Source organism: Homo sapiens, chromosome 22, assembly GCF_000001405.40.
Source record: "Homo sapiens chromosome 22, GRCh38.p14 Primary Assembly".
In the NCBI taxonomy this organism is placed as follows: Eukaryota; Metazoa; Chordata; class Mammalia; order Primates; family Hominidae; genus Homo; species Homo sapiens.
In genome coordinates, this window is record NC_000022.11 from 17,537,316 (window position 1) to 17,550,793 (window position 13,478).

Here is a 13,478-nt window from a genome sequence, read left to right on the forward strand (position 1 = left end):
AGAACAGCCCTGTTGGGTAACATGGTCACCATGTGTGAGTGAACAGGGCGGGCCCTGCACACACAGACACGCCTAGCTACCCTGGCCTCTGACACTCTTGCTGCCACACTCTGTGATACTTAACACTAAGCTCTTCTTTCTTCATCCCCTCAATTTAATGAAATCAGAATCTGATTATTATGTAAATTAGCTCCTTGGAAATGTGAATAGAAGTTTATTCTTTTTAAAGTAATTACTTCCCGTGACAGTACTAGGTACCATTTGTCTTGACTCCTTACTAAACTCAAGAGGCAGATACACATTCAGTGTTCCTGAGCTCATTTATCATATGATTTTTTGGATTATTCTTTAGATCACAAAAATATTCATAACTAAAATAAACCCTAGTTGAAAATGTGCTATAGGCCGGGCTCACGCCTGTAATCCCAGCACTTTGGGAGGCTGAGGTGGGCAGATCACCTGAGGTCAGGAGTTCGAGACCAGCCTGGCCAATATGGTGAAACCCCCGTCTCTAATAAAAATTTTAAAAAAAATTAGGTGAGGTGGCACATGCCTGTAGTCCCAGCTACTCGGGAGGCTGAGGCAGGAGAATCACTTGAACTCAGGAGGTGGGGGTTGCAGTGAGCTGAGATCGTGCCACTGCACTCCAGCCTGGGTGACAGAGTGAGACTCCGTCCAAAAAAAAAAAAAAAAGATTGTGCTATAAAGCCTGGGCAACATGGTGAAACCTCACCTCTACCCAAAATACAAAAACTCGCCAGGCATGGTAGCACACACCCGTAGTCCCAACTATTCAGGAGGCTAAGGTGACAGGATTGCTGGAGCCCAGGAAATGGAGGCTGCAGTGAGCTGTGATCACACCACTTCACTCCAGCCTAGGCAACAGAGCAAGATCCTGTCTCAAAATAAGTAAATAAAGAATGTGCAATTAAATAACTAACATTCTAGAACCATAAAGTTCTGGATCATCCAGGCCAACCCCACATTTTATAGATGAGGAAAGTGACATTCCCAGTTTTGCTAAGGTCCACTGTCCCTCATTGTATTTCCAGGGAGTGTTATCAGTGTCACAGGCTCATCTAAACCACACTATTAGGACTATTCCAAATCTTAGTTCAGTCAGGTGTGTCTGCGATAGACCTGAGAGAGCTCAGGAGAGAAGGTGGTCAGAGTTACTATTAATTTCTTATTTTGTGATTTACAGCTTTGAGTTGGATGATGATTTCACTGCTATGTATAAAGGTTAGTTCCCATTCTCCACTGTTCTGTTTGTGATAGAAGTTTTCCTCTGTGAGTGTGTTAAGATCTCTTCTCTGGCTTTCAGTTCTAGACGTGGTAAAGGCTCACAAGGATTCCTGGCCCTTCTTGGAACCTGTGGATGAATCTTATGCCCCTAACTATTATCAGATTATTAAGGTAGAAGTTGTCTTTGCAGTAATGCCTACTATAGTGTGTATATCTTTCTTGGGTTTTGTTGTTTGTTTGTTGTTAAATATATATATATTTTGATACGTTTTTCTTTTCAACTGTCAAAAGTTCATGTGATGTTTCTCGTTTTATCTGTTATTCATTACAGATCAGCATTGCTGAATTCTCATTATCTCTCTGTCTCTCTCTCTCTATGGAATGTTTGCTCTCAGCATATTTTAACTATAAAGAGTTATGTGTCTCGTTTAGGCCCCCATGGATATTTCCAGCATGGAGAAGAAACTGAATGGAGGTTTATACTGTACCAAGGAGGAATTTGTAAATGACATGAAGACCATGTTCAGGAATTGTCGAAAGTATAATGGGGAAAGTAGTGGTAAGCAGGGAAGGAGTTTGTGCTAGATACATATCTGTAATCAAGAATAAAATGCCTTCTCTTTTACAAATACACATCCTAGTGCCTTTTCTGTAGGACAGTGAACAGAATGTGTATGAAAAGTCATGGGATTGACCATTCCAGCCACTTATACAGTGTCTGCCAGGGATTCTCTCCTGCCCCACAGGACAATAGAGTGCAGCTGGCAGCTAACTGGCTCATCCTGGAGACCAGTCTGGGTCTGGATTATACTGTGTGTGCCTCTTTAACCACCGAGGGGACTGACCCTACATAGAGCTGACTCTTCAACCATCTGGGGAAGCTGGCGTAGTAGATCTGCAATATCAAAGTAGAAATGGCTCTTTCTGAACATCACACTCCGGGGCCTGTTGTGAGGTGGGGGAAGAGGGGAGGGATAGCATTAGGAGATACATATACCTAATGTAAATGACGAGTTAATGGGTGCAGCACACCAGCATGGCACATGTATACATATGTAACAAACCTGCACGTTGTGCACATGTACCCTAGAACTTAAAGTATAATAAAAATATATATCTATATATATAAAAAAAAGGAAATGGCTCTTTCTACTTTGGGTCATTTATGCATTAACTAAAAATGCCCTGCTTAAAAACAGCAGATTCAGCCATTTTTTATTTAGTATTTCTGCAGTTTAGCCTTAAAGAATTAAATTTTTACTGGCATTTTTTTTCTTTATTTACTAACCTCGAGGCAGGATTTCACTCTGTCACCCAAGCAGGAGTGCAGTAGGGCAAACATGGCTCACTGCAACCTCAAATTCTTGGGCTCAAGGGATCCTCCTCCCTCAGTCCCAAGTAGCTGGGACTATCGGCATGTGCGACCATACCTGGCTAATGTTTTCTTTTTGGTAGGGACGGGTGTCTCACTTTCTTGCCCAGTCCAGTCTTGGAACTCCTGGGCTCAAGTGATCCTCCTGCCTTGGCCTCCCAAAGTGCTGGGATCACAGGCATAAGTTACTGTGCTCAGCCTGGTTTGACTTAATAGTCCTAGAGGCCCTGTCCCAACCATACAACCTTGGGCATCTTACAGATAGAAACCACGTCTTCTTCATCTTGCATCCATAGCTCTACAATATAATGTGCCCTAAAGGTGAATTAAACTCATAGATTACCCAGGTTGCATCTTCTATTTATTAGAATTGTCTTTTGTGACCTATAGTTCTGTTTCTATAGTTTCTATAAACTATAGTTTCTATAAACAATTTCTGTAAACTATACCTAGAAGTCAATCCTCCTGTCTTCCTATAGAGTATACCAAGATGTCTGATAATTTAGAGAGGTGTTTCCATCGGGCAATGATGAAACATTTTCCTGGAGAAGATGGAGACACAGATGAAGAATTTTGGATTCGAGAGGATGAAAAGCGGGAGAAAAGACGGAGTCGGGCTGGGCGAAGTGGTGGGAGCCATGTTTGGACCCGCTCCAGGGACCCAGAAGGGTCCAGCAGGAAACAGCAGCCCATGGAGAATGGAGGAAAGTCGTTGCCCCCCACACGCCGAGCGCCCTCTTCTGGGGACGATCAGAGCAGCAGCTCCACACAGCCCCCGCGGGAGGTGGGCACTTCCAATGGCCGAGGTTTTTCTCATCCCCTGCATTGTGGTGGGACACCCAGCCAGGCACCCTTTTTAAACCAGATGGTAAGGAATAGAGTGGAGACTGTTGCGGTTTCTCCTAGTTTGTGAGTTCATAGTAATGTAGAGGCCATTCAGTTAGTACTTCCTGCAAAATACTTACGTGTATGTATGGAATCTTTTTCCCTGTGAGTCCTTTGTTCATGTGATTTTATTTTGTTTACTTTTTAGTAGAGACACAGTGTTGCTATGTTGCCTAGGCTGGTCTCAAACTCTTGGCCTCAAACAGTCCTTCTGCCTCAGCCTCCCAAAGTGCTGGGATTATAGGCATGAGCCACTGTGTCTAGCCATTCCTTTATTCTAAATCCTCCTTTTTCTCAATCACTTGAATTAGGTATTCTCAATGTGGGCAAAAATTGGGATTAAAAAATATGTAATCTGGCTGGGCGCAGTGGCCCACTCTTGCAATCCCAGCACTTTGGGAGGCTGAGGTGGGCGATCACGAGGTCAGGAGTTCAAGACCAGCCTAGCTAACATGGTGAAACCCTGTCTCTACTAAAAATACAAAAATTAGTCAGGTGTGGTGGCGCTACTCAGCTACTCAGGAGGCTGAGGCAAAAGAATTGCTTGAACCCAGGAGGCAGAGTTTGCAGTGAGCTGAGATCGTGCCACTGCACCTTAGCCTGGGCAACACTGTGAGACTCCGTCTCAAAAAAAGAAAAAAAAATGTAATCTTTATTGTATAAAGCACAGGTATACATGTAGTACATGAATGTACAGTATATCTGCAACATTATAAGATTTCATGGTAGCAGGCAACTGGGGAGAAACGGCTAAAATGGATCCTTGGGAGGAGGAGTAATAAAAAAGAGATTGAGAAACACTGATTTAATCTTGTATCTCCTGGAGAGGGAAGTTGCTTCAGGCTCATAGGCAAGCCCTGATGCGGGTGAGCACGTGTGTTCACAGTCTCCCTGTCTCCAGCCGAGGTTTAGTCGTCTGTTTTATTTTAGTAGAACGTTCATCTTCAGGAAAACCCTTGTTGTCAACCTAAAGTCTGTGCCTTTCCTTTTTCCTCTTCTTGCTTTGTTCAATGTGCTGCAGAGGCCAGCAGTACCAGGAACATTTGGCCCTCTGCGAGGATCAGATCCTGCCACCTTGTATGGCTCCTCTGGAGTCCCGGAGCCACACCCCGGGGAGCCTGTGCAGCAGCGTCAGCCTTTCACCATGCAGGTAAGCAGCCTACTCTGGAGGTGCAGGTGCAGGGGGTCCCACAGGTACGTTTCAGAGAAAAAGTCTCTTTCCAGGTTAAATGTTGTTCATTGCGTCCTTTCCCAAAGAGTCTGTTCCCATAGAGAAGCATGGCACAAAGTGTGCCTTATTCTGTGAGTCTGTAACTGTGCTGCCTTTTCTCGTTGCCAGCCTCCAGTTGGAATTAACAGCCTCCGAGGACCCAGGCTAGGCACACCAGAGGAGAAGCAAATGTGCGGGGGGCTGACACACCTTTCTAACATGGGCCCACACCCTGGATCCTTGCAGCTTGGGCAGATAAGTGGCCCAAGTCAGGATGGAAGCATGTATGCTCCAGCTCAGTTCCAGCCAGGATTCATTCCTCCCCGGCATGGGGGGGCTCCAGCCCGGCCACCAGACTTTCCTGAAAGCTCAGAAATTCCTCCCAGCCATATGTATCGATCGTACAAGTACCTGAATCGAGTACACTCTGCCGTCTGGAATGGGAACCATGGTGCTACGAACCAAGGACCCTTGGGCCCAGATGAGAAGCCCCACCTGGGGCCAGGACCCTCTCACCAGCCTCGCACTCTCGGTCACGTGATGGATTCCCGAGTCATGAGACCACCTGTCCCCCCCAACCAGTGGACTGAACAATCAGGCTTCCTACCTCATGGAGTTCCTTCCTCAGGGTACATGCGACCGCCCTGCAAGTCTGCCGGACATCGGTTACAGCCACCTCCAGTGCCAGCACCCAGTTCTTTGTTTGGAGCACCTGCCCAGGCTCTTCGGGGGGTGCAGGGAGGGGACTCCATGATGGACAGCCCAGAGATGATTGCGATGCAGCAGCTCTCCTCCCGCGTCTGCCCCCCAGGTGTGCCTTACCACCCCCACCAGCCTGCACACCCCCGTTTACCTGGCCCTTTTCCGCAGGTAGCTCACCCAATGTCAGTCACTGTGTCAGCCCCCAAGCCTGCCCTGGGCAACCCTGGGAGGGCACCGGAGAACAGTGAAGCACAAGAGCCTGAGAATGACCAAGGTAATTTACACTGTCACTTTGGGCTCTTTAAGCTCTTGTTTCATGAGTAATCTTTTTACACAGCATATCAAACCAAGTGTAATCTGGTTCCCAGCCTCTCTTTCTTTGTTTATTTTTTGGTTTTGTTTTGTTCTGTTTTGTTTTTTTGAGACAGAGTCTTGCTCTGTCGCCCAGGCTGGAGTGCAGTGGTGTGATTTCGGCTCACTGCAAGTTCCACCTCCCGGGTTCATGCCATTCTTCGGCCTCAGCCTCCCGAGTGTCTGGGACTACAGGCACCCGCCACCACGCCCGGCTAATTTTTTTGGTATTTTTAGTAGCAACGGGGTTTCACCGTGTTAGCCAGGATGGTCTCAATCTCGTGACCTTGTGACCTGCCCCCGTCGGCCTCCCAAAGTACTGGGATTACAGGCCCACCGCGCCCGGCCTTCCCAGCTTCTCTTTCTTGAACTTCTCAGATTTGGGCCAATCACAGTCCTTCTCTTGGTCCGTCGATCCCATTTCTGGTCATAATTTTGACTCTGCGCAGGTGGGCGCTTGCTGTGCCAGGCACTCCTCCTGAGACTTTTTTTTTTTTTTGAGACAGAGTCCCACTCTTGCCCAGGCTGGAGTGGAGTGGCACAATCTCGGTTGACTGCAACTTCTGCCTCCCAGGTTCAAGCAATTCTCCTGCCTCAGCCTCCTGAGTAGCTGGGATTACAGATGCATGCCACCACACCCGGCTAATTTTTATATTTTTAGTACAGACAAGGTTTCACCGTGTTGGCCAGGATGGTCTTGAACGTCTGACCTCAGGTGATCGCCTGCCTTGGCCTCCCAAAGTGCTAGGATTACAGGCATGAGCCTTCCAGAGACTTTTATACATTAATTCATTTATTCTCAGAACAAGCCTTCGAGATAGCTACTGTTACTATCCTTGTTTTTACAGATGAAAAATCCAAGGCATGGAAATGTTAGATTATTTGCTCTCAGCCAGCTAGTAAGTAGCAGAGCTGAGATTTGGGCCCAGACAGACTAGATCCAGCATCTGTGCTTTACCCACTGCATCATCATAGTTCCTCTAAAAAAGTACTGTCAGCCGGGCAGTAGTTTTGGTGGCTCATGCCTGCAGTCCCAGAATTTTGGGAGGCCAAGGCCAATGGATCAGTTGAGCCCAGGAGTTCGAGACCAGCCTGGGCAAGAGAGTAAGACTGTCTCTACTAAAACATTAAAAAATGGCCAGGCGCGGTGGCTGACGCCTGTAATCCCAGCACTTTGGGAGGCCAAGGCAGGCAGATTACAAGGTCAGGAGATTGAGACCATCCTGGCCAACATGGTGAAACCCCATCTCTACTAAAAATACAAAAAATTAGCCGAGCGTGGTGGCAGGCGCCTGTAGTCCCAGCTACTCCGGAGGCTGAGGCAGGAGAATGGTGTGAACCTGGGAGGGAGAGGTTGCAGTGAGCCGAGATTGTGCCACTGCACTCCGGCCTGGGCGACAGAGCGAGACTCCATCTCAAAAAAAAAAAAAAAAAAAAGTTAAAAAATTAGCCAGGCGTGGTGGCTCATGCCTGTAATTCCAGCACTTTAGGAGGCCAAGGCAGGCAGATCACCTGAGGTCAGGAGTTCAAGACCAGCCTGCCCAACATGGCAAAACCCCATTCTACTTAAAATACAAAAATTAGCCAAGCATAGTGGCAGGTGCCTGTAGTCCCAGCTACTCAGGGAGCTGAGGCGGGAGAATCACTTGAACCCGGGAGGCGGAGGTTGCAGTGAACCAAGATTACACCACTGCACTCCAGCCTGGGCCACAAAGTGAGACTCTGTCTCAAAAAAAAAAAAAAAAAAAAAAAAAAAGGTTCATGCCTATAGTCCCAGCTACTTGGGAGGCTGAGGTGGGAGGATCACCTGAACCCAGGGAGGTCAAGGCTACAATGAGCTATGATTGCACCACTGTACTCCATCCTGGGCAACAGAGCAAAACCATGTCTCAATACCATCTTGAAAGTTATCAAGTGAATTTCTGTTCCTTGGATACATACCTGGATTTATTAAGAATGGCCAATAGTGAGATCTAGCAAATCTTGAAGCAGTTTCTTAGAAATACCATTTAGGCCAGGCGCAGTGGCTCACATCTGTAATACCAGCACTTTGGGAGGCTGACGCGGGTGGATCACCTGAGGTTGGGAGTTTGAGACCAGCCTGGCCAACATGGTGAAATCTTTTCCCTACTAAAAATACAAAAATTAGCCGGACGTGATGGTAGAGGCCTGTAAGTTCAGCTACTTGGGAGGCTGGGTCATGAGAATCACTTGAACCCGGGAGGCGGAGCTTGCAGTGAGCCGAGATCACGCCACTGCACTCCAGCCTGGGCGAAACAGCGAGACTCCGTCTCAAAAAAAAAAAAAAAAAAAAAAAGAAATGCCGTTTAAGAGGAATAAACATTAAACTAGGGGAGAAAATGGAAAAAAAAATACTTTCCAATTAATGCTTATTTCTAGGATAAATATCTAGCATGCATGTAATTTTCTTCAGTACCTGGCAGGAGAATGGACACACTTGGACTTAAGATAATAGATTCCTGGCTGAGCACGGTGGCTCACATCTGTAATTGCAGCACTTTGGGAGGCCACAGTGGGTGGATCATGAGGTTAGGAGTTCAAAACTAGCCTGGCCAACATGGTGAAACTCTGTCTCTACTAAAAATACAAAAATCAGCCGGGAACAGTGGTGGGTGCCTGTAATCCCAGCTCCTCGGGAGGCTGAGGCAGGAGAATCGCTTGAACCCGGGAGGCTGAGGTTGCAGTGAGCCGAGATCACATCACTGCACTCCAGCCTGGGCAACAGAGCAAGACTCCGTCTCAAAAAAAAAAAAAAAAAGATAATAGATTCCACATTAAATTGATGGTAGGGTTAGAACTCATTTAAATTTTTGTGTTTCTCATACCTGTAATCGCAACTACTTGGGAGTCTGAAGTGGAAGGATTGCTTGAACCCTGGAGTTCGAGGTTTCAGTGAGACACAATCACACCACTACACTCCAGCCTGGGCGACAGAGTTGAAACTCCGACTCTTTTAAAAAAAGAAAAAAAATGGTTAGGGGAAAAAAACCTTTTAGTATTTCTTTTGTGGAAAGTCCTACTTTGTTAACACCACCTCTAGCAGAATTTTCTAATATTGATTTCAAGTGAGTTCTGGAATTCAGAGCTTTACAAGAATCCTGTTTAGGCCGGCGCGATGGCTCACGCCTGTAATCCCAGCACTTTGGGAGGCCGAGGCGGGTGGATCACGAGGTCAGGAAATCGAGATCATCCTGGCTAACACGGTGAAACCCCATCTGTACTAAAAATACAAAAAATTAGCCAGCATGGTGTCGGGCGCCTGTAGTCCCAGCTACTCCGGAGGCTGAGGTGGGAGAATGGCGTGAACCCGGGAGGCGGAGCTTGCAGTGAGCCGAGATCGCGCCACTGCACTCCAACCTGGGCGACAGAGCGAGACTCTGTCTCAAAAAAAAAAAAAAAAAAAAAATCCTGTTTAGTTAAGTCTAGTTGCTAAGTTTAATGTTGGCTGAATAATGAAAAGTACGGTTTTTCACTTTCATTGTGTAATTTGTACCATTGACCTTTAGGGCCAGCTTCAAGTAGCCTGAGCTATGTTAATAGCTCTTTAAAAGTTGTTAAGAATCTCTAACCTTGTGCTTCAGATCTGTTACCAGGATGGTAATTTCATCACACCTGGACAACTGTCCTCCTAGAAAGATAATAAAAAGATTATTTTGGCTGGGCGCGGTGGCTCACACCTGTAATCCCAGCACTTTGGGAGGCTGAGGCGGGTGGATCACCTGAGGTCGGGAGTTTGAGACCAGCCTGGCCAACATGGTGAAATCTTGTCTCTACTAAAAATACAAAAATTAGCCGGGCATGGTGGTGCAGGCCTGTAAGTTCAGCCACTTGGGAGTCTGGGTCATGAGAGTCACTTGAACCCAGGAGGCGGAGGTTGCAGTGAGCCAAGATCACGCCACTGCACTCCAGCCTGGGCATCAGAGTGAGACTCTGCCTCAAAAAAAAAAAAAAAAAAAAAGATTATTTTATATAGATATATACACACACTTACACACTATTGTATATTGTAGTCTTAGTTAAGACCTTATTTTTAGGTCGAATAGTAAGTTAAAGAATTCTGAGAATGTAAACAAGCATAGGAGTCTAATTAATTTGATTGGGCTTAGTAAATTTCCATAATATGTTAAAAATGCCTCTTTTTTTTTTGAGATGGAGTCTCACTCTGTCGCCCAGGCTGGAGTACAGTGGCACAATCTTGGCTCACTACAATCTCCGCCTCCTGGGTTCACGCCATTCTCCTGCCTCAGCCTCCCGAATAGCTGGGACTGCAGGTGCCGGCCACCACACCCAGCTAATTTTTTATATTTTTTAGTAGAGACGGGGTTTCACCGTGTTAGCCAGGATGGTCTCAATCTCCTGACCTCGTGATCTGCCCGCCTCGGCCTCCCAAAATGCTGGGATTACAGGCGTGAGCCACCGTGCCCGGCCCCTAAAGATGCCTTTTGAGTTTCATGTTGTAGGCGTCTTGTCTTCAAGACATGCAGACAAAATGAATGTATTCATTCAACAAAGTGATTGAGTCTGTGTGCATGAACTGAGAGGACAGTGAGACGGAGAAGTCCCTCCTGTGGAGCTTTTATTCTCGTGGAGCAGAAACCAGGCATTTGGCCTTCCTGAGCGCCCGTCATGCCCTGTTCTTTCTGGTTGCATCCCATTTTAGAGCTTCCCAGCATGGCCAGTGATTCTGATGACAACCATCCCCTCCCAGTGTGTTTCACGTGCATCTGCCTAGAGTCCGTGAGCCACAAGCCGTCTCTCAGCCTCTTACGAATCGGGCAACCCACGGTTAAGGACATTTCCATTCTCCGGCCCACTGTAAGAGTGAATGTAGAGGTGCTAGGTTTTACCTTTGTGTCCGTGAAAGGGGTGAAAGGAAGTGTACAGGGACCCCAATGTCCTGCCCTCTTTCAGGGACTCAAACAATTTCCAGGTGGGGCTTGAATCACCACACATCCACCTTAATCTGACTCAGGCATGTTCTTCACATTAATACTGTCATTTCAGCTACTGAGTTATTTTTTCTCCTCTTTTTTTTTTTTTTTGCAGCAGAGCCGTTGCCTGGCCTTGAAGAGAAACCACCAGGTGTTGGTACTTCAGAGGGGGTCTACCTCACACAACTACCTCACCCCACACCTCCCCTGCAGACTGACTGCACCAGGCAGAGCTCACCACAAGAAAGGGAAACAGTGGGCCCGGAGCTCAAAAGCAGCTCCTCCGAATCTGCGGACAACTGTAAAGCAATGAAGGGCAAGAATCCCTGGCCCTCGGATAGCAGCTACCCCGGCCCAGCCGCCCAAGGGTGCGTGAGAGACCTCTCCACGGTGGCAGACAGGGGCGCTCTATCCGAGAACGGAGTCATTGGGGAAGCATCTCCTTGTGGATCGGAGGGGAAGGGCCTTGGTAGCAGTGGTTCCGAAAAGCTGCTCTGCCCCAGAGGCAGAACGTTGCAGGAAACCATGCCATGCACGGGACAGAACGCAGCGACACCGCCCAGCACAGACCCCGGTTTGACGGGAGGCACTGTGAGCCAGTTTCCCCCGCTGTATATGCCTGGCCTAGAGTACCCGAATTCAGCTGCCCATTACCACATCAGTCCAGGCCTGCAGGGTGTGGGCCCTGTGATGGGAGGGAAGTCCCCAGCATCCCATCCCCAGCATTTTCCCCCAAGGGGCTTTCAGTCTAACCACCCACATTCTGGAGGCTTTCCCCGGTATCGCCCCCCACAAGGAATGAGGTATTCCTACCACCCACCGCCACAGCCTTCCTACCACCACTATCAGCGAACTCCTTACTATGCCTGTCCACAGAGCTTTTCTGACTGGCAGAGACCTCTCCATCCCCAGGGAAGCCCAAGCGGACCCCCAGCCAGTCAGCCTCCCCCACCAAGGTCCCTCTTCTCAGATAAGAATGCCATGGCCAGTCTGCAAGGCTGTGAGACACTGAATGCTGCCTTAACTTCTCCAACCCGTATGGATGCAGTGGCTGCTAAAGTCCCAAATGACGGGCAGAATCCTGGTCCAGAGGAAGAGAAGCTGGATGAATCTATGGAGAGGCCAGAGAGTCCCAAAGAATTTTTAGACCTGGACAACCATAACGCAGCTACCAAGCGGCAGAGCTCGTTGTCAGCCAGCGAGTATCTCTATGGAACTCCTCCGCCTCTGAGTTCAGGAATGGGATTTGGTTCATCTGCATTTCCACCCCACAGTGTGATGCTGCAGACGGGGCCTCCCTATACCCCTCAGCGGCCGGCCAGTCACTTTCAGCCCAGGGCTTACTCTTCCCCTGTGGCTGCCCTCCCACCTCACCACCCAGGGGCCACCCAGCCCAACGGCCTCTCTCAGGAGGGTCCCATCTATCGCTGCCAGGAAGAAGGCCTGGGTCACTTTCAAGCTGTGATGATGGAACAAATTGGCACTAGAAGTGGAATAAGAGGACCTTTCCAGGAAATGTACAGACCATCAGGGTAAGATTGCATTCAGGCTTTTCCCCCTAAAGAGAGAACAGATGTTTATTTTATGTATTTATTTTTGAGACAGAGTCTCACTTTGTCACCCAGGCTGGAGTGCAGTGGTGTGATCATGGCTCACGGCGGCATCGACCTCCCAGGCTCAAGGATCCTCCTGCATCAGCTGTTTAAGTAACTGGGACTACACACATGCCACCACACCCAGCTAACTTTTTGGTTTTTTTTTTTTTTTTTTTTTGGTGGAGGTAGGGTTTCACCGTGTTGCCCAGGCTGGTCCTAGTCTCCTGAGCGCAAGTCATCCTCCTGCCTCAGCCTGTCAAAGTGCTGAGATTACAGGCATGAGCCAGCACACCTGGCCTGGATGTTCATTTTAAACAGAAAAATGGCCTTAGAGATGAAGATAACAGTTCATGGTCTAGGAACAAAAAAAATATGTGAATTATTGATGTTGTACACTCTGTAGGAAGGTATTAAACTTAGAGCCCAACTTTATCTTTGAAATTTTTTCCACTCATGAAAATGAACTGGCATTTAAATGACTGACTTAGATTTTGATATTGTAAACTTTATTTATTTATTTATTTATTTATTTATTTTTGAGATTAAGTCTCACTCTGTGGCCCAGGGTGGAGTGCAGTGGTACGATCTCTGCTCACTGCAATCTCTGCCTCCCAGGTTCAAGCGATTCTCCTGCCTCATCCTCCCAAGTAGCTGGGATTACAGGTGCCCGCCACCACACCTGGCTGAGTTTTGTATGATACTATAAACTTAATAACCACAGTTTGAGAGCTGTAAGCAAGCCTGTGTCAACATTGCTGCCATGTGGAGACACTCTGACCAAGGTAAAAAAAAAAAAAAAAATAGGCCTACCCAGGAGTAGAAGAGGAGATCATGTAGTATTGAAGTTTTACTACATACCTCTCATTTCTTACCCTATCATTGAATGAGAAAACCAGGTTTATCCAGAATGCAAACAAGTCCCCATGAGACTTCTTTCACACATGCTTGTGTAGTGTTGTTCTCCAGATCCAGTTAGGTGATCTGCCATCCAGGAAGTTTTCAAATCGATAGATACAAATGAAAGTTATGAAGCGGCCAGGCGCGGTGGCTCACACCTGTAATCCCAGCACTTCGGGAGGCCGAGGCGGGCAGATCACGAGGTCAGGAGATTGAGACCATCCTGGCTAACACGGTGAAACCCCGTCTCTACTAAAAATACAAAAAAT

At 47.5% G+C, this 13,478-nt stretch overlaps 1 protein-coding gene across 13 annotated transcripts in view; it reads left to right on the plus strand.

Moving 5' to 3' along the window:
• CECR2 (CECR2 histone acetyl-lysine reader) overlaps positions 1 to 13,478 on the plus strand; it is a 198,203-nt gene that overhangs the window by 177,367 nt on the left and 7,358 nt on the right. For 3 of the 13 annotated variants that reach the window (NM_001290047.2, XM_011546128.3, XM_024452234.2), the window contains 7 exons: positions 1,205 to 1,242; positions 1,325 to 1,416; positions 1,678 to 1,804; positions 3,097 to 3,485; positions 4,524 to 4,652; positions 4,842 to 5,688; positions 10,833 to 12,249. In NM_001290047.2, the coding sequence (NP_001276976.1) occupies positions 1,205 to 1,242; positions 1,325 to 1,416; positions 1,678 to 1,804; positions 3,097 to 3,485; positions 4,524 to 4,652; positions 4,842 to 5,688; positions 10,833 to 12,249 (3,039 nt within the window). Of the gene's footprint in view, positions 1 to 1,204; positions 1,243 to 1,324; positions 1,417 to 1,677; positions 2,201 to 3,096; positions 3,486 to 4,523; positions 4,653 to 4,841; positions 5,689 to 10,832; positions 12,250 to 13,478 lie in introns of those variants that run through there. The other 10 variants (XM_011546132.3, XM_047441342.1, XM_047441344.1 and 7 more) reach the window with 6 other exon arrangements.